Source organism: Homo sapiens, chromosome 19, assembly GCF_000001405.40.
Source record: "Homo sapiens chromosome 19, GRCh38.p14 Primary Assembly".
NCBI lineage: Eukaryota > Metazoa > Chordata > Mammalia > Primates > Hominidae > Homo > Homo sapiens.
In genome coordinates, this window is record NC_000019.10 from 54,267,739 (window position 1) to 54,285,454 (window position 17,716).

General features: G+C 50.2%; 1 protein-coding gene, 1 non-coding gene and 1 pseudogene across 8 annotated transcripts, besides 2 other annotated features; 2 read left to right on the forward strand and 1 right to left on the reverse strand.

Moving 5' to 3' along the window:
• LOC100420187 (YME1 like 1 ATPase pseudogene) lies at nucleotides 266–1,503 on the forward strand (annotated as a pseudogene).
• A 4,570-nt stretch (nucleotides 1,504–6,073) lies between these two features.
• On the reverse strand, nucleotides 6,074–13,372 carry LILRB2 (leukocyte immunoglobulin like receptor B2). 7 transcript variants are annotated; one of them, NM_001080978.4, is made up of 14 exons: nucleotides 13,223–13,372; nucleotides 12,725–12,806; nucleotides 12,526–12,561; nucleotides 12,053–12,337; nucleotides 11,607–11,909; nucleotides 11,074–11,370; nucleotides 10,522–10,824; nucleotides 10,151–10,201; nucleotides 9,812–9,859; nucleotides 9,069–9,191; nucleotides 8,643–8,718; nucleotides 8,526–8,563; nucleotides 8,213–8,265; nucleotides 6,074–7,091 (listed from the first exon to the last, which is right to left on the reverse strand). In NM_001080978.4, the coding sequence occupies exons 2-14, from the start codon at nucleotides 12,756–12,758 to the stop codon at nucleotides 6,945–6,947; spliced, it is 1,794 nt and encodes a 597-aa protein (NP_001074447.2). In that variant the 5' UTR covers nucleotides 12,759–12,806; nucleotides 13,223–13,372; the 3' UTR covers nucleotides 6,074–6,944. The 7 variants fall into 7 exon arrangements, 6 of the variants coding, with proteins under 6 accessions (NP_001074447.2, NP_005865.3, NP_001265332.2 ...); NM_005874.5 differs by having other exon boundaries at nucleotides 9,812–9,862; NM_001278403.3 differs by lacking the exon at nucleotides 13,223–13,372 and adding an exon at nucleotides 13,066–13,145.
• Nucleotides 6,818–7,782: an enhancer, noted in NCBI's record as "H3K4me1 hESC enhancer chr19:54778410-54779374 (GRCh37/hg19 assembly coordinates)". NCBI's record gives its function as "activates a minimal SCP1, AML or CMV promoter by ChIP-STARR-seq in naive H9 embryonic stem cells {active_cell/tissue: H9 hESC(naive)}" and the evidence as "EXISTENCE:reporter gene assay evidence [ECO:0000049][PMID:30033119]".
• Nucleotides 11,286–12,485: an enhancer, noted in NCBI's record as "CDK7 strongly-dependent group 2 enhancer chr19:54782879-54784078 (GRCh37/hg19 assembly coordinates)". NCBI's record gives its function as "activates an origin of replication core promoter dependent on BRD2, BRD4, P300/CBP, MED14 and CDK7 cofactors, with strong dependence on CDK7, by STARR-seq in HCT116 cells {active_cell/tissue: HCT116}" and the evidence as "EXISTENCE:reporter gene assay evidence [ECO:0000049][PMID:35650434]".
• Nucleotides 13,373–14,370: 998 nt separating the features above from the next.
• Nucleotides 14,371–14,442, forward strand: MIR4752 (microRNA 4752). The gene has a single exon (NR_039907.1). It is a non-coding gene; the product is annotated as a microRNA 4752 (primary transcript).

The following is a 17,716-nucleotide window of genomic DNA, read 5'->3' on the forward strand; positions in this document are numbered from 1 at the left end:
GTGACATAACTCACACCATATGAAATGCACCATTTTTTAGTGTACAAATAAATGGATTTTAGTGTCTTCACTATGCTGTGCAATCACCATCCCTACCTCATCCCACAGCATTTCCATCACCTCAGAAAGAACCCCCAAGTAGTCAGTCCTAGTTCTTCCCTTCCCTCAGCCTTAAGAAATCACTAGTCTACTCTCAGTTTCTATGGCTTTGTCTATTCTGGATATTTCATGTGCATAAAATCACACCAAATACACGTCCTTTTGTAGCTGTTGATGGAAAAGAAGTGGTTACCATGAAGGAACTGAAGTTTTCCAAAGACAAAATTATAATGTGGCCTGACAGAAGAAGTACAGAAATTGATAACAAAAACAAATCCATCACAACTTATCATGAATCTGGTCATGCCATTATTGCATATTACACAAAAGATGAAATGTCTATCAACAAAGCTACAATCATGCCACAGGGGCCAACATTTGGACCTGTGTCCCCATTACCTGGTGATGACAGATGGAATGAAACCAGAGCCCAGCTGCTTGCACAAATGGACATTAGTATGGGAGCAAGAGTGGCAGAGGAGCTTATATTTGGAATTGACCATATTACAACAGGTGCTTCCAGTGATTTTGCTAATGCCACTAAAATGGCAAAGCAGATGGTTATCAAATTTGGAATTAGCGAAAAGCTTGGAGTTATGACCTACAGTGACACAGGGAAACTAAGTCCAGAAACTCAATCTGCTATTGAACATGAAATAAGAACCATTCTAAGGGACTCATATAAATGAGCAAAACTTATTCAAAATTCAAATAATTGTATGACATGGTTATAACAAAACACCTTCCTACCCCATCCATAGTATTTATTTAGATGAACAAATTTTCTCAGTCCTGTATCTATACAAATGAAAACTAGATATAGTATTGACGTTTAGCTCTGTTTCAGTCTAGGAATAAGTAATATTTACCAGTGGACTTGTGAACAATTAATAACCATAATCAAGAAGTATTTTTAAAACATTTAGCATCTTAAATTTATATAGTAGAGATGGATAGGGTGATCCATGAAAGATGTTTAATTATATAATTATTACATTTCGCTAAAAACTTGTTGGTGATGTTGAATGGAAAATCAAGTCAAAAATAAAGAAGAATGATGCAAACCTTAAAAAAAATGAGCAAAACTTATCTTGAAAAGTCATGCAGAGGAGCATAAGAATCTAGCAGAAGCTTTATTGACCTATGAGACTTTAGGTGCCAAAGAGATTCAAATTGTTCTTCAGGGGAAAAAGTTGGAAGTGAGATGAGAACTCTCTTGATGTGGATGCTTTGCTGGTTTTATTGCAAGAATATAAGTAGCATTGCAGTAGTCTCCTTTTGCAATGCTTTCTCCTCATTATTGACGTTGTGTAATTTAAGGGTGTGAAACATTTTGTCAATATTTTGTCACGTTTACCCAATTTTGGTTATTCTCATTATGACACCCATTGCAAATCAGCATCCCATGGCAAATATATTTTTAAAACTAAAGAACTATCAGGATTAAAGACAGCTCATTTGGGAAATGTCAATTAGTTATGAAGTTGAAAGTAACTAATGATTTTATGGTTGGTTACTCTACTAGAGGTGAATAAAACTTCAGCCTTTAGCCTTCTATATACATCAGTGGAAACTTAATTAAGATGCATTAATTATGTTCCAGATTGACCATCAATAAAATGTTTTTAAATCTAAATGTAGAGAATTGTAAGCATACAGTTGCAACCCGAATTTAAATGATTATAACCTTTTGGCATGGTGTGATGGCTCACGCCTCTAATCCCAGCACTTTGGGAGGCTGAGGCGAGTGGAAGGCTTGAGTCTAGGAGTTCGAGACCAGCCTGGCCTACACGGCGAAACCCTGTCTCTACTAAAATTAAAAAAAATAGCCTCCTGTGGTGGTGCACAACTGTAATCCCAGCTACTCAGAAGGCTGAGGCACAAAAATTTGCTTGAACTGGTTGCAGTGAGCCAAGATCTCACAACTCCACTCTAGCCTGGGCGACAGAGTGAAACTTTGTCTCAGTAAATAAATAAATAAATAAATAATTGTAACCTTTTAAAAATAAAAAAACCCAAACAAATATATGTCCTTTTTTTGTCATTATTCATGATAGCTAAATAGTGAAAACAACCCAAATGTCCATCAATTGGTGAATGCATAAACCAAATGTGATATAGGCATAGAATGGAATATTCTTCAACAGTAGAAAGGAACAAAGACCAATTACATGCTCTAGCGTGCAGAGACCACGAAAACATTTTGCTATGTGCAATTGGATTTTTGCCATTTTGTTGTTGTTTTTAATGTAGTACATTTATTTTAATTTATTATTTTTTTAAAAAAAATTCAATAGCTTTTGGGGAACAGGTGGTGTTTGGTTACGTGGATAAGCTCTTTAGTGGTGATTTTTGAGATTTTGGTGCATTCATCACCCGAGCAGTGTACACTGCACCCAATGTGTAGTCTTTTATCGCTCATCCCCCTCCCATTGTTCCCTGTGAGTCCCCAGATTCCATTATATCCTTCTTATGCCTTTGCATCCTCATAGTTTAGCTCCCACTTATGAGACCATATGATGTTTGGTTTTCCATTTCTGAATTACTTCACTTGGAATAATGGTCTCCAACTGCATCTAGGTTGCTGCGAATGCCATTATTTTGTCCCTTTTTGTGGCTGAGTAGTATTCCGTGCTGTGTGTGTGTATATACACACATACACATACATGTTTTTCATATGTTTGTGGACCGTTCGTATATCTTCTTTTGAGAGTTGTCACAAAGGGAATTGGATTTGGAGGGAACAATTTTATGGCCATTTTTCAGTATAATCATCGGGTGAAGACAGTGTCTGTTCGGCCAGTGTCGCTTTAATCCATTACCTGTAGCCAGGAAGGGAGACGTTTATCGCAGAGATAGGCACCAACCTGGAATGCTTTCCTCAAAGGCGATTAACTGTAGTGTGAACCCGAAATTTCACCGCAGTTTGGTCCTGATTTGGCACAAGATATGCTTTATCCACTGATGTGAAATGTCCAGGTGTTTTTTTGTACGGTTTTGTTGCTGAAAGACACAATACCCTCTAATCTAAGGCATCCTCTCCAAATCCCACTGAACAATACCCTCTAATCTAAGGCATCCTCTCCAAATCCCACTGAGGCACAGGAGTGACACTAGAGAGGGGGTCACGGAGCTTCCTGAGAGAGATTCGCCTCCTGAACCCTGGGCAGATCCTCCCCACCTTGGGATCTCTGTGAACCTCTGGGGTCTTCTATTCAATCAGGACCAAGTTGTGAGGTGGGATTCCTTCCAGGCTACAGTCTCCCCTCTCCCTCTTTCAATTTTATCAAGACAGATCAGAGGTTTGTGGGAGGGAGTCATGGCGTCTCCTCCACAGCCCCCAGCTGTGCAGATGGATGAGGCCACCGTTCCTGGATGGAGTAAATCTACTGGGAACCTGGGTTCTCCATCACGAGGTTGTCCCGTCATCAGCCCCAAAAGAAGGGGAACTGCCCTCTCCGGGAGCTTGACTTTCATTTCCCCAAGGCTGGGACTGGGGCAGGCACCAGGCTGTCTTCAGATACTTCATACAGAAATGGTATCTCCCTGACCCTTTTCTGCGATTTGCCTCATCTGTCCTCATCTCATCAAGGGTCAGGACGTAGGAGCCGATAGACCCAGCACCTTTCTGAGTCTGTCCTGTCCAAGTGAGGGTGAGTGGGGGCTTGTTCTTCTTCTCAGAGCCTCCCTGTGGGGTCCTCTTCCCTCCTTCAGCCTGTCCATCAACACAGCATTGCGGGATCCTTACCATGGCATCCAGCCCTGGAGATGCTTCAGGAAAGTTGCAGGTCCATGCTGCAGGACAGGCTCAGATCAGCAGAGACGCATCTCACATCGGGCTGTGAAATTCAAGTTGAGCTGCAATTGGCAATGAGAAGAAAAAAGGAGAAATAAAGAAATGCTGACTCTTCTTTTGTCTTTGGAGTATGGGTTTTATTTCTTCCAGTTTCCTTCTTAGACTTCCCTTCTTTTTTTTCTTCCTATTTTTTTTAATAGTGTTCAGGTCCCCCTCCCTTAAAAGTAACCTCTGAGTCATTCCTGCCTCCTTGGCGTCCCTCCCACCCCCAGCCCCGCTTCCTTGGGCATTCCCCTGCATCTCAGTCTGCCTTCAAGGTTTTGGGAACAAGTACTTGTCTTGAGCTCTGATTTGGGGGTGGGATAGGGAGTTAATTTTTTCTGAATTGCTCACCTTCATCCCTGCGTGCATGACCTTGGGCAGTAAGTCCCATCTCTGAGCCTCGGTTTCCTCATTTGGAGCCTGTTGTCATGAACCCCCCTCCTGAGTGGTTTTGGGGGCCAGTGGTGCCTGGGTCATGGGAGGGCCTCAGTCATGGTACATTTCCAGACCGGGTTAAGTCTTGGGGGTTGAAACATGAGTGGATCCTGGTGTTGGACTGCACAGTCACGGTGAGTGACTTATGTGCTCAACAGCCCACATCTGCTCCTAACACTGGGAAAACCTACTTATAATGTGTCTGAAATATGTAGCCATGGTCCAATGAAGAAAATGAGAAATGAGACTTCCTGTCATAGGCAGGAAACCTTAAGAAGCAGAAGATGCCAGCGCCGAGGGGCTGCTGGTGACTTGCAAAGCTGGGGGTCACTAAGGGGGAGGTTTCTGCCTCTGTATGAGACAGAGGAGAACCCCAGGGCCCTCACAGACAGGGAGGGGTCGGGGTTTTGGATGAAAGTGGGAAGTTGTGGCTCCTTCTCCCCTGTGTTTGTGGATGGCACTGGGATATCTCTGCTCATTGACTCAGGTCCATGGTCAGCCCTGAGCCGCCTCCTCCATGTGTGTGAAACAGATTCACTGCAGCGTTGTCACACATGGGCGTCTGTCCCACATGCGAGTCTGAGGCTCACACTGGACCCTCCCTGCTGGTTACAGCCCTGAGTAGACTCATGTGGCACTGGCAGGTGGAACCATCTCCCCTTTTCCAGCCTTAACTCCCAGCACAGCCCTGGTGGAAACCCTCTCTGGAAGATGAGGCATGTGGGAAGCATGTGTCCAAAAATGACAAGGAGAAGGAATTATCCTAATGATCAAAAGTGCTATGATGGGCCAGGCACCGTGGCTCATGCCTGCAGTCCCAGCACTTTGGGAGGTCAAGGCGGGCGGGTCACTTGGGCCCAGGAGTTCAAGACCAGCCTGGGCAACATGGCAAAACCTCATCTCTACAAGAAATACAAAAATTAGCTGGATGTGGTGTCATGAATAATGGCCTCCAGCTCATCCAGGTTGCTGCAAAACTCAATCCCTTGTACATCAGTTGCAAAAAATTAAAAATATCTAAGAATATACCTAACTGAGGAGGTGAAAGATCTCTACAAGAAGAACAACAAAATGCTGCAGAAAGAAATCGTAGATGACACAGCAAAATAGAAATATATCCCATGCTCATGGATTGGCAGAATCAATATTGTGAAAATGATCACACTTCCCAAAGCAATATTTAGGTTCAATGCAATTCCCATCAAAATATCAACATCATTTTTTTCACAGAATTAGAAAAAAATCCTAAAATTCATATGGAACCAAAAAGAGGATGAATACCAAAGCAATCTTAAGCAAAAAGACAAATGTAAATTTAATAAACATATCCTAGGCTGAATTGTAGGGGGTTTGTTTTTGCTCACTTCAACCTCCACCTCCCGGGTTCATTCAAGTGATCCTCCTGCCTCTGCCTCCCAAGTAGCTGGGATTGCAGCGTGCGCCACCATGTCCAGCTAATTTTTGTATTTTTAGTAGAGATGGGGTTTTGCCTTGTTGGCCATGCTGGTCTTGAACTCCCGGCCTCAAGTAATCTGTGGCCTCTGCCTCCCTAGGTGTTGAGATTACAGGCGTGAGCCACCGCACCCGGGCACATTGCCTCTTTTTCTATTCTCAAGAAACATTTGTGATGCTCTGGGTGTGTTTGTGTGTTTCATTAGTGCGTCAATATTTGTAAGAAATCACCAGTGAAACTTCCTGAACTGGAGTTGATACGATGGGAACATTTTTATTACAGTCAATGTTTTTCACACACACACACACACACACACACACACATATATATACACACACATACACACACATTTAAAATGAGTCAGATTCTCTGATTACTCTTACGTTCATTATGTAAACTCCAGTTTTGAATATTTCATCCATTTAATCTGCATTTTCTAGTATATTGGTATAGGTTTGCAGCCTGTTCTGGGGTTAGTTTGTGAAAATGTGTGTAGGATCTGCTGGGCTGTCTGCTGGCTCACTCCCATATGGAAATGCGTGCCTGCTCTTTCTTTCTCTTGCTCAATGTAGTTAGGATTTATGACTGTAATTAATATTTTCAAGAATGAGCTTCATTGGCTTTGTTGAATTTTCAAGTTTTGGTTTTTCCTCATGAGCAACTCTTCTTCTTCTTATTCCCTTTCTTACACCTTCATTTGGAATAATTGGTTATTCTTTTTCTAAATTCCTTATACGAAAGCCAACGTCATTCATTTCCTAGTTTTTTTTTTTCGTTTCTACTTTTTTCATTTGTGGTTTGTACTTTTTCAATTTCATTGTGTGATGTGTAATATTTATATTGTGATTCAGTTTAAAGCACATTCTTACTTCTGATTTTAGTTTTCTCGGTTAACTCATTGATTATTGAGAAGTCTGTTGCTTTAATTAAAAAATGTAGGGATATTAGTTATTTCGACTGCAGAATCAAGTGAGTCCCAAAGTTCCCAGCATCTCCTCATGGTCTTTGTTAGGGGTCCAGGCTGACTGGGGTTCATTGGTGTCCACTGGGGGCAGCTCCCGTGCCTTCAGCAGTCCTGAGTCTCCTTCTACTGAGTGTGGAGTCTGCGTACCCTCCGGGCTAGTGGATGGCCAGGGTGGCGTAGATGCTGGGCTCAGCTGGAGGTTCCCTTTCCTGGGATGGAGGAGGCTCAGTTGCCTTCCGTCTGAGGGTCAAGCTGTGCAGCTGGGCGTAGGTCACATCCTGGGGGGCTTCAGATGCAGCAGCCTGCAGCGGGGGAGAGTGAGAGGTAAGGAACGTGGTGGGGGTGGGGGAGGCCTGGGGGCCTGGAGAGGAAAGGACTCTCTCAGTGTCCATCTGTCTGTCCTCTTCTGCCTGTCTGTCCTTTGTGTCCAGGAATTCCCCGGACAGTGGGGAGGGAGGAGAGGCCATTTCTCTCCTAGGTCTGGAGTGTTTCACCGGGGCATATGTCACTGCCTGGGGGTCTTCATCATGTGGGCTCTGCTGGAGAGAGACAGTGGTGGGGGGTGTCCTTGAGTCCCCCTGACCTCCTGGAGTCAATTTTCCTCACTGTTCCCGGGGTGATCCGATTACATCCCTTTCCCGATGGAATCTCAGGGACGCCCTAAGGCCGTGGAGGGTCTGGCCGCTCCCTTCCTGTGGTTCTGGCCTCTGCTCCTCACTTTGACCTTGCCCATTTGGCTGCAGCCTCATGGGCCTTCCCGCAAGAGCTCGCTGCTGCCTCGGGGCCTTTGCACGGCTGTTTCCTCTGCCTGCAGGGGCTCGTCCATTAGAGGATCGTGTGCCCCACTCTGTCCAGGCTTCTCAGATGACAGCTGAGCAGACAGCCCTCCCCTTCCATTCAGACTGGCCCCACTGCCCCACACTCTCTGCCCTTTCCCTGGTGTATGTTCCTTTAAGCACGTTGCACTCCTGGACATGGCGCATTTATTTGCATTTTGTCTCCCACCATGAGGTGAGCTCAGGAGGCGGGGGCGGCTTTGCTCCCTGCTGTGTCTGCAGCTCCCATGGGGAGCCTGATCCACAGTGAGCTCCCTGGGAACACTCACTGGTTGAATGAATGAAGGGGAGCCCAGGGGACCGGGGTGGTTCATTTATTCCTCATCCTCCAGAGGCCTGGGGAGCGCTCTAACAACCAGACGGCCAAACAGAGGATGAGGAGCAGGAAGGGGACCCGGGAGGAGGCCCACGAGGTCCCAGGACAGCAGGAGAGAGTGAGGTCACAGCAGGCGGGAGGCAGCGTGCTGGACAAGGAGGGGTCCACCGTGACGATGCTGAGAGCCGGGGGAAGGAGGACAGAGAAGTCCTGCTGGATTAGATCTGGCACCAGGAGGCCTTTGGTGCCTGGGACAGGGGCGGGGTCTCACCCGAGTGTCCATCTCCACCCCATCTTCAGGCTGTGTGTCCTTCACGGCAGCATCTGCTGGGGCAGAGCAAGGGGTTCGTCTCTTGGGAAGGTTCCCTGGGACCTCTGAGTCCTGCCAGCCCCTGCCCTGCTCCCAGATGGGGCTACTGAGATGCAGGGAGGGGCTGCAATGTCCCTGAGGTCCCACAGTGTGGGGTGAGATGATCTCACCCTGAGCCCCAGACCCTTTCCAGCCGGTGCCCCTTTCCCCATTGCTACGGAAACTTCGGGGCCCCTATCTCCCTCCTGGCTGGTCACCTCTTCCTCTCACTCACAGAGGTTTTCTTCCTGGGCGTCGGCAGCTGGGCTGGACCTGGGGGAGGAATGGGAGCTTTAGGGGCAGTGTATGGGCCACGAGCAGGTGGGAGTCTGGGGTCTTCGGGCAGAATTACCTCCACTGCAGGCCTCTGTCTGTGGGCTCTGGCCCCACAGCCCCTGCAGGATGTTGGAAATCAGCCTTTCTCTGGGCTGGGGGAAGAAGGACAGAGCCTCAGCCCTGGGAACATTGGAGCCCCCTGCCCTGCACACACAGCTCGAAGGTAAGGAAGGAAACCTAAAAACACTCCTGCCTCCATGTTCCAAATGCCTCATGAGATGGACAGAGTCCGAAGGACACTTTACATTTGTAGATGGGACTGAGCCCGGAGGACACTTTATATTTGTAGATGGGACTGACGTTAAGTGCTTTCTCCATTCACCTGGTGAGAAATGCTGGAACAGTTTCTCAAAGCTGCATTTGCCCAGTGGTTTGGATTCTCTTTGGCTGTGCCCTGAGCCCACCCTCGGTCGGCCCACAGGGTTTCCCCTTCCCTACTCACTCGATGTCCAGTGTTTGCCCTGACGTCGATGTCGGAGGATGAGGAAGAGGAGGAGGAGGAGGAGGAGCAGTAGGACGACGGCCACCAAGATGCCGATCACAACCCCCAGGTGCCTTCCCAGACCTTGAGCACGATGATGTCAGGGATGGGGGTGATGTCATTGAAATGAGCGCCTACTGTGTGCAGGTGACTGCTGGACCTTCTGTTCACCACCTCCAACCCCCACAACAGTCGTGCAGCACACAAACATCCACCCCACCCACTCTACAGATGAAAAACTGACGCTCAGAGAGGGGAATCGCCTGCCCCGGGCCCCCAGCCAGGAAGCGGCAGAGCTGGGAAGGGAGCCTGGGAGTCTGACCTGCAGCCCTTGTTCCTGCACCAGAGCCGAGCCCCGGAGCTGCAGGGAAAGAGCCTTACCGTCCTGAACCACGACTCTGCTCCCCTCCCCTGCCCCAGGTCACCGTCTCTGCTGCAGGTGGGACGGGACAGGCCCCCGCGGAATCGAGTCTTGGAGTCTTCCCTGAGGGGCCTCCTCTCCCAGGAGGTCACAGCTGGGAGTGAGAGCTGAAAGGAACTTTCCCACCTGCAGGCCTCTCTCCTTTACACTTGGAGAAACTGAGGCCCAGGCAGGGGAGGAGCCTGTCTACATCACCACCTCCAGAGGAGCCTGAACCTAGGACAGAACCCACCCCTGCCTCCCCGGGACCCCGCCCACCTCCCACTCAGAGCCCCTCACTCACCACTTTGGGGATCCGACCCAGTGGGGGTGAGGGGCTGGTCCTCAGGGCCTGCTGGGTCAGGACGGGGAGGTGAGGGCTGGGGCTGCCCTGCTCCCCACATCAGCCCGGCTGCTCCTCCCCCAGGCTGGGCCCCAACATTTCTCTCTGCCTTGACCCCCCACCCCTCACCAGCCCAGCCTCAGAGCCCTGGGGACCCTGTGGCCCCTCCTCTGGCTCTGCCCAGCTCCCTGGACAGAAGCCCTTGATTGAGTCCCTGAAGGGAATGGGATCCTCCTGGACACTCAAAGCTGCCCTGGGGGTCGCTGCGCTCCCTTCGAGCCAGAGGCCTCAGGGACTCACCAGGTGTGGAGATGGGACCGGTGGGTGGGGGGCTGGAACCCATGGAGGGTCCTGGGTGAAAGAATGAGAGGAGGGTGAGGAGCTGGGGCTTTCCTGAAGTCTCCACCTCAAACCAAATTTCTCTACATGGGCCCTGTGGCCTCCCCAGGCCCCTCCCTCCACCCGCCTCTCCTGTCCATGATGCTGGCGATGCCGCTGAGTGTGCGCAGGCCTGGGAGGGCCTGTTGTCCTCCTTCCCTCTGAGGGTGAGTCTCCCACTGGCTGAGCCCCGCTCAGACCCCCGCTCACTCCATCCCAGCCCAGAGCTCTCCTGGGGGGCAGGGCCTGAGCTGAGCCTTTGAGCTCAGAGAGGACAGGGTCAAGGCCCCCACCTGAGACCACGAGCTCCAGGGGCTCACTGGGGTGAGACAGCAGGTAGGGGTCGGAGTTGAGTGAGCCGTAGCACCTGTAGGTCCCCGCGTGGGCTGAGGTCACAGGACTCATGGGGAATTCAGCCTGGTACTTAGGATATTCGTGTATTGATCTTAGACGGAGTGGGGCATCAGCTGCTCCCGCCTTGGTCAGAAGGAAAGTGTGGAACTGCCGCCATGACTGACACAGCAGGGTCACGTTCTCTCCTGAGGCCACTGTGGGGCCTGGCTGCACTGAGATGAAGGGTGTGCCACGGATCTGTCCTGGAGAGAAGAAGGATGGGTGAGGGGCTGCCCCACCTTGCTCTGAGCTGAGACCTCCCCAGGCCTCTCTAGGAGCCTCTGTCTCTGTTTTCTCTGAGTCTTCCCCTCCCCACCCATCCCCTGTCTCTCTCTCTGTCTCTCCCTCCCTTGGGACCACCCCCCGCCTCATCCTGGCCATCACTAATTGGATTCCCCCGGCAGGGCCTGTGCAGAGTCTGGGTCCCTGACTGAACCCGCTGGGCTCCTCACCTGTGATCAGGATGTCCAGGGGGTCGCTGGGGGCCGAGCACTCAGAGGAGAGGTTGTGTGCACCGTAGCATCTGTACTGGCCCCCGTAGGAGCGGCTCACAGGGCCCAGGGTGAAGTTGGCCTGGGAGAGCCCAGCCTGGGGCTGCCGGCCAGGGAGCTGGCGAAGGTCACGTTCCCCCTCCTTGTACAGAACAAATCTGTCATAGCCGACATCAGAGACACACTGGAGGGTCAGGCTTTCCCCAGGGGCCATGACAGGACCCGGCTGCACTGAGAGTGATGGCTTCTTAGAAACACCTGGGAAAAGGTGCTCATGGTTTCCAGGAGCCGACCCTCAGGCTTCCCCACAAACCCTCCCTCTCCCCCGGTGCCTCACCACTGCTGATCTTCCTGTGTCTCTGGCCCCAGGACCCCTGAGCCCTCTCGCCCCAACATCATCCCACCTGGAACTGCCCTGAGACACGGCTGCTCCCCACCTGCCTGGAGACTCAGGGAGACTCAGGGAACTCCAGACAATGCTGTGAATTTCTCACCTGGGACCAGGAGCTCCAGGAGATCACTGGGTGAAGACCACACATAGGGAGAGTTCAAGTCATAACCATAGCACCTGTGCGACCACCTGCGATTCGGGCTCACGGGGCCCACGGAGAAGATGGCGCGGGACGACCCACGGGCATGGGGCTGGGAGTTCAGGCATTGTGGGTGTTCATCTTCTCCTTCCTTACACAGAATGAAGCCGCCAAATGCCACCTGTGACTCACACTGGAGGGTCACCCTTCCTCCTGAGGTCACCACAGGGCTGGGCTGGGCTGAGAGGGTGGGTTTTGGGTAGGCTCCTAGGAGAGAAGGAGGCATCGTGTTAAATGGGGCTCCCACCTCCCACATCATCCCCAGGGCTGGGCTGTGAGAGGGAGACACCCCTGAGAGCCTCCTTCCTGAGGGCAGAGCCTGGGGCTGGGATCCCTGAGTGTCCTCTCACCTGTCATCACCAGCACCAGGGGGTCACTGAGCTCAGACCACCGAGCGCGGCTGTAATACTGACAGCCATATCGCCCTGTGTGTTCCCAGGTGATGGATGGGATGTGGAACTGGCCGTTCTTCACAAGCTCTGGTCGTATCCGTGTAATCCAAGATGCTGATTTTTTCTCCCTATATAGACGGTACTCCTGGGCTTCAAGGCTCCCCTGACAACTGAGGGTGACGGGACTCCCCTGGGTGATCACAGAGTCTGGCTCAGCCCACAGGGTGGGCTTGGGGATGGTCCCTGGAAGGAAATCAAAGGTCAGATTCGAAGTCATTTCCCACCCAACAGATCTCAGCTCTCAGCCCAGGACCCTCCAGATGCCCCCATCAGTCAGTCCAGAACTTCTAATCCCCATCCCCAGCTGCACGGAGGTGGCCCCTTGTCCCCAGTGAGGAGGAGGGACCTGGGAGAGCTGGGGACAGACTCACCTGTCTGCACGCGGGTCCTGGGGCCCAGACTCAGCCCTGGAAGAGAGTTCCCTGTGAGGGATTTGCCCCCTGAAGCCTGAGCAGGTCCTCCCCTCCCTGGGATCTTTGTGAGCCCCTGGGGTCTCCTTAGGGACCAGAGTTTGGCTGTGGGGTGAGGTCCCTCCTAGGTTAGAAGCTCCCCTCTCTCTTCAAATCTCACCGAGACAGATCAGGACTGTGACGATGGGGGTCATGGCGTCTCCTCCCACTGCCCTGCTCTGCGGATGGATGAGCCCTCGGTGCTGGCGGGACAGAGACACACAGAGAGAAATAGCCTCCCCTCCTTCCCACCCTGTGTGGACACTCAGAGGCTGGGTCCTTCTCATGGGGTGTTGTCATCTGCAGCCACACAAGAAGCGGAACTGCCCTCCCAGGAGCCTGACTCTCATTCTTTTAGAGCTGAGGTGGGGGCAGGCACTGGGCCCTCTGCAGACATTTCAGACTGTAATGGGGTCTTTCCTGACCCCCAGCCACTGTCTGTCTGGTTTCTCCTCGTCTCACCGAGAGCCGGGATGTAGCAGCAAATAGAACTGGTGCTTCTTGTGTCTGCCCTTCCTGATGAGGGTAGCAGTGGCTTCCCCTTCCTTCTCACAGCTTCCCACATGGTCACCCTCCCTCCTTCAGCCCATCCATCAGCACAGCGTTGTGGGGTCCTTACCATGGCAGTCGTCCCTCCAGCCCTGGAGATGCTTCAGGGAAGACCCAGGTCCATGCTGCAGGCAGACTCAGATCAGCAGAGAAGCATCTCGCCTCTGGCTGTGCTGTCCAGGTTGAGCTGTGTGTGGCAGTGAGCACAGAGGAGAAATGCAGGGAAGTAGGGGAAGAAAAGTTGACTTCTTTCTTGACACTGGATTGTGGGTTTTCTTTCAACCAAATAGTCCCCTCTTAACTTCCCCTTTTTAAATGTTTTTGCTCCAGCGTCCACTCCCTCCCCCCCGGGAAGAAACCTCTGAGTCTTTCCTGCCTCCTCGGTGCCCATTGCGTCCTTAGCCGTCCCTCTGCACCTCAATTCCTGGTCAACATTTTGGGAACAATGACTTATGTTTGAGCTTTGATTTGGGGAGTGGGGGAGGGAGTTGATATTTATTTGATGACTGGTTATCATCCGCTGCCTACGTGACCTTGGTTTGTAATGTCCCATCACTGAGCCTCAGTTTCTTCCTTTGCAGATTGTTGTCATGAATCCCACTCGTCACAGTGGTTGTGGGGTCAGTGGTGCCTGGGACATTGGGAGGGGCTCATTTGTGCTTGATTTCCAGACCAGGGTAAGACCTGAGGCTTTGGGACGTGAGAGGATCTTGCTGTTGGACTCCACATTCTGTAGGTGATTGATGAGTCCACTCAAGATGTCACATCTGACCGTAATGGAGAAACGTATGTGTAGCATTTCTGAAATACCCAGAGTATCAAGGTCATGAGCAGAAAAAGACATGTGGAAACCCCAAGTGTAGACGGACTCACAAGAAAGAACAGAGGCCAGAGGTGAGATGCCACAGGGTCCCGGGACCATCAAGGGCTCATTAGGGTGGAGGTTTCCACCACTGAGTGGAGCCGGGAGAGGAACCCCGGGATCTGCAATGACAGTGAGGGGCTCAGGGCTCCAGACCAAGGTGGGAGGCTGCGTCCTCTAGCTACACCTGAGGCTGGAGTGGACCCCAAGCAGCCCAGGGGAATTCCCTCAAGGGAGTGCACCAAACTGTCCAGACCTGCTGGAATTCCAAGGAAAGAAGCACTAAACACCAGGGTGTTCATAGAGCATTTATTAGGGGGACCTCTGCACAGTGGGGCATCCTTGTCTTCTTGCCCAGTGTCTCCTTGTGGATCTCAAGGATGTGCTTCCACATAGCAGCATGTTCTTCAGATGGACAAGGAGACACTGGGTATTCTATCCAAAGCTTTAACCTAAAATAAAAACAAAACCAAAAATAAACCCCTAGAAAATATGATCTCTCAGTACAGTTGTTTCTTGGGATACACAGGCAATTCGTTTCAGTACCCCCTACATGTACCAACACTTGCTCGTACTCCAGCCCTGACGTTGTCTCTGCTGGGTCTGCATATAGGAAAAGTCTGCCGTTCATATACGCAAGTCTTGTTTCTCACAAATGCTATAGTTTTGATCCCCGTTTGTTTGGAAAAAGTGTGCATATAAGAGACCCCTGGAATTCAAGGCTGCATTGCTCCAGGGTTGCCTGGATTTTGAGTTTATTTGGGAGTGAGAAGCAAGGATTACAATATGGAGTGCATGGCATGGCAAGCCACAGTGTGTCCAGAGAGGGAAGTGTGATGTTGTGATATATGCTGGTTTTCACCCGCAGTTCCTGGCTTGTAACTCCCATAGCCCTTGTTATAGTCTTTTGTTATAACATTGGCTGTGCTGGGCCTCAGGGGAGGCCTCTGACCTCCTCCTGCCCTTCCTTCACCTAACCCAAAGTAAGACTCGAATGTTCCCTGCCTTTCTGATAGTGGATCTTAAGACCCTCCCAGAAGACAGTCTCACCCTGTTCCTTGTGGGAGGAAATGCTGATGTCATGAAGCTTTCATAAAAGCCCCAGAGGACTGGGTTTCATGAGTTTCTGGGTGGCTGAGCATGCTAAGGCTCCTGGAGGGCGACGCCCAGGGAGGGTATGGAAGCCCCGGGCCTCTTCCCCCATGCCTCCTCCTATGAGTTTCTTCATCTGTGTCCTCTGCAGTGTGCTTTGTATTCAACCAGGAAATGTCAGTGTTTCCTGAGTTCTGTGAGCTGCTACAGCAAATTAATCAAACCCAAAGAGTGGGGCATGGGATCCCCAACTTGAAGCCAGTCAGTCAGAAGTTCTGGAGGTCTGGACTTGGGAATGGTGTTGGGGGCAGTTTTGGGGAATGGGCCTTCAATCTGTGGGATCCGGGACTGTCTCTGGGTAGACAGCACCAGAGCTGACTTAGAGGACACCCAGCTGCTGTTCGCTACTGCGTCTGGGGAAAAAAACCCCATACATCTGGTCCTAGAAGTCTTTTTCTGTGTTGATGATTCCTGTGACGTGAGAGTAGAGGAAAAGCACCGTAGAGAGAGCTCTCTGTACATAGAGAGGTAAAGGAAGTTCTTATCAGCAACAAGGGAGAGCCTGACAGAGCTGCCTGGAAACAGAGTTCCCTGGTTCCACAGGTTCAAAGCCAGAGTTGCTGTCAGTCCATTGGAGGAGATGCTGTTGCTGGTCAATGGTTCTCTTGAGAGCATCTTATCTGAATTCCTGACGTCCTAAAGAACATCTAGTGATAAACCTTGTCAAAGCAGAAGGGGCTGAAGGACATGGAAGAGTTTCTTATGGGTTTTTTAAAAGTCCTTAGAAACAGTTCTTATCTGAGACGTGGAAGCATGGGCCTCCTCTCCTTCAGGCCTTCCTGGCCCTGTGGGGTCTGAGTTTGACCAAAGTCATCTCATCCTTGCACCTGTAACTTTTCTATTGGGAGTCTGCAGTGAAGGGATGGGGTTACGAAGTTTAACCTGAGAGTTTCAGGAATTTGGTTCAGGGGAGGGCTTGTTTCTACACTTTTAGCAAAAGGGTTAATTTTTCAGTGTTTTCTAGAAACAACCTAAAGTGCTTTATCAGTACTTGGGGATGCTCAAGACCTCAGCTTGGGTTCCAGCCTGCAGGTGGAAACATGCATCTGTCCAACCCACAGAACAGTCATGGCCCTTTGTCTCACTCTCAGAACAAGGAAAAAAGTGGAGGAAACTGTGGGACCTTAGAGACTGTGACTCCCCCTCTTCTGTGTTTGTGGACAGACCCTGGGATGACTCAGTGACCCGGGCTACACTCAGCACTGAGCCACCTTCCCGGGTGTGCATGACACAGATGCGCTTTATCATTGTTGGACCGGGCATCTCTGACCCTGGAGTGTGAGGCTCACATGGACCCCGCCATGCCGGGCATAACACAGAGGTGATTCTAAGCTTGGGAGCATGGACACCGCAGGGCAGGAGCGGCTACAGCAATGCCCTCATCAGCTTTCCTTCCTGAGTCAGCCTGGGGAGAAACCCTATATGGAAGATCAGGTGTGTGGGAGAAAAACCCACCCCAGAGGAATAAAAATCAAAGAGTCCGTTAGAGAAAAAACAGGCAATTGTAGAAATGAATTAGGAAGCTATTGTGATGTGAAAATAGTAAATTATATTAACACATTTAGAAATAATTTCATCCAGAACAAGACACAGCTGAAATGATAAACATTGTATTGGTGTAGAATATTTACTAAAATTTTTCATTAGTCATCAGAGAAAAACTAGAAATGAAAAAAATAGAAAAGATAATTAATGCACACAAGAAATGGAATGAAAAGAGGAAACAGATATCTCTCTTTGGATCACACTTTCAGAATGAAGGAAATAAGGAGTATGTTATTCAGTAAATACTTGCAAAGAAAATGGTTGACATTTTTATAGAAATGAAGAAAGAACATGAGTTTAACGTGAACAAATTCATAAATAACATCAATGTCTTAACTATGATAGAGTAAAAGATACCTAGAATAGATACAAAGTAATTTTAAAACTACTGGAGAAAATGAAAATTATTGTCCAATGAAAGACAAGCACATTGGGACTGGATTTCCCAAGAGTAAAAAGTGCAAGAAAATGACTGGGGGCTGAGGTTCAAGTTGGCTGAATGGAAAGGGCTGGAGTCTGCCTACTCACTAAGAGGACCCAAAATAGCGAGTAAATACCAACAGGTCAAGTGGATCTTCCAAGAGGATGCTGGGGTTCACCTGAGAAACATGAGGACATGGAGAGAAGAGAAGAGAAAAGGTGGGAGCCAGGAGAGGCTCCTAACACGGGGAAGGGGTGAGTGAGTGAGAGATTCACCAACACGGGGAAGGGGTGAGTGAGTGAGAGATTCCCCAACACGGGGAAGGGGTGAGTGAGTGAGAGGATCCCTAACACGGGGAAGGTGTGAGTGAGTGAGAGGATCCCTAACACGGGGAAGGGGTGAATGAGTGAGAGCCTCCCTAACACAGGGAAGGGGTGAGTGAGTGAGGGGTCCCTGGCATCTACACCTCTGCTGTGGGCCCTTAGGATCCTGCCCACAGGAGAGCGCCTGTCCCCTCTGGGCCTCCAGAGGCCCACAGTTTGCTCCTGGAGACTGTACCAAGGCCCCACTGGAGCCCACGTGGA

Excerpts from the sequence above, each read along its gene's own strand:
- LILRB2 (NM_005874.5), bottom strand. The coding sequence starts at position 12,758 with ATGACCCCCATCGTCACAGTCCTGATCTGTCTCG. Across the intron at positions 9,863-10,150 it reads CGGTCCCATCTCCACACCTG|CAGGCCCTGAGGACCAGCCC; the intron begins GTGAGTCCCTGA and ends GTCCTGACCCAG. Across the intron at positions 8,564-8,642 it reads GACAGAGGCCTGCAGTGGAG|GTCCAGCCCAGCTGCCGACG; the intron begins GTAATTCTGCCC and ends TTCCTCCCCCAG.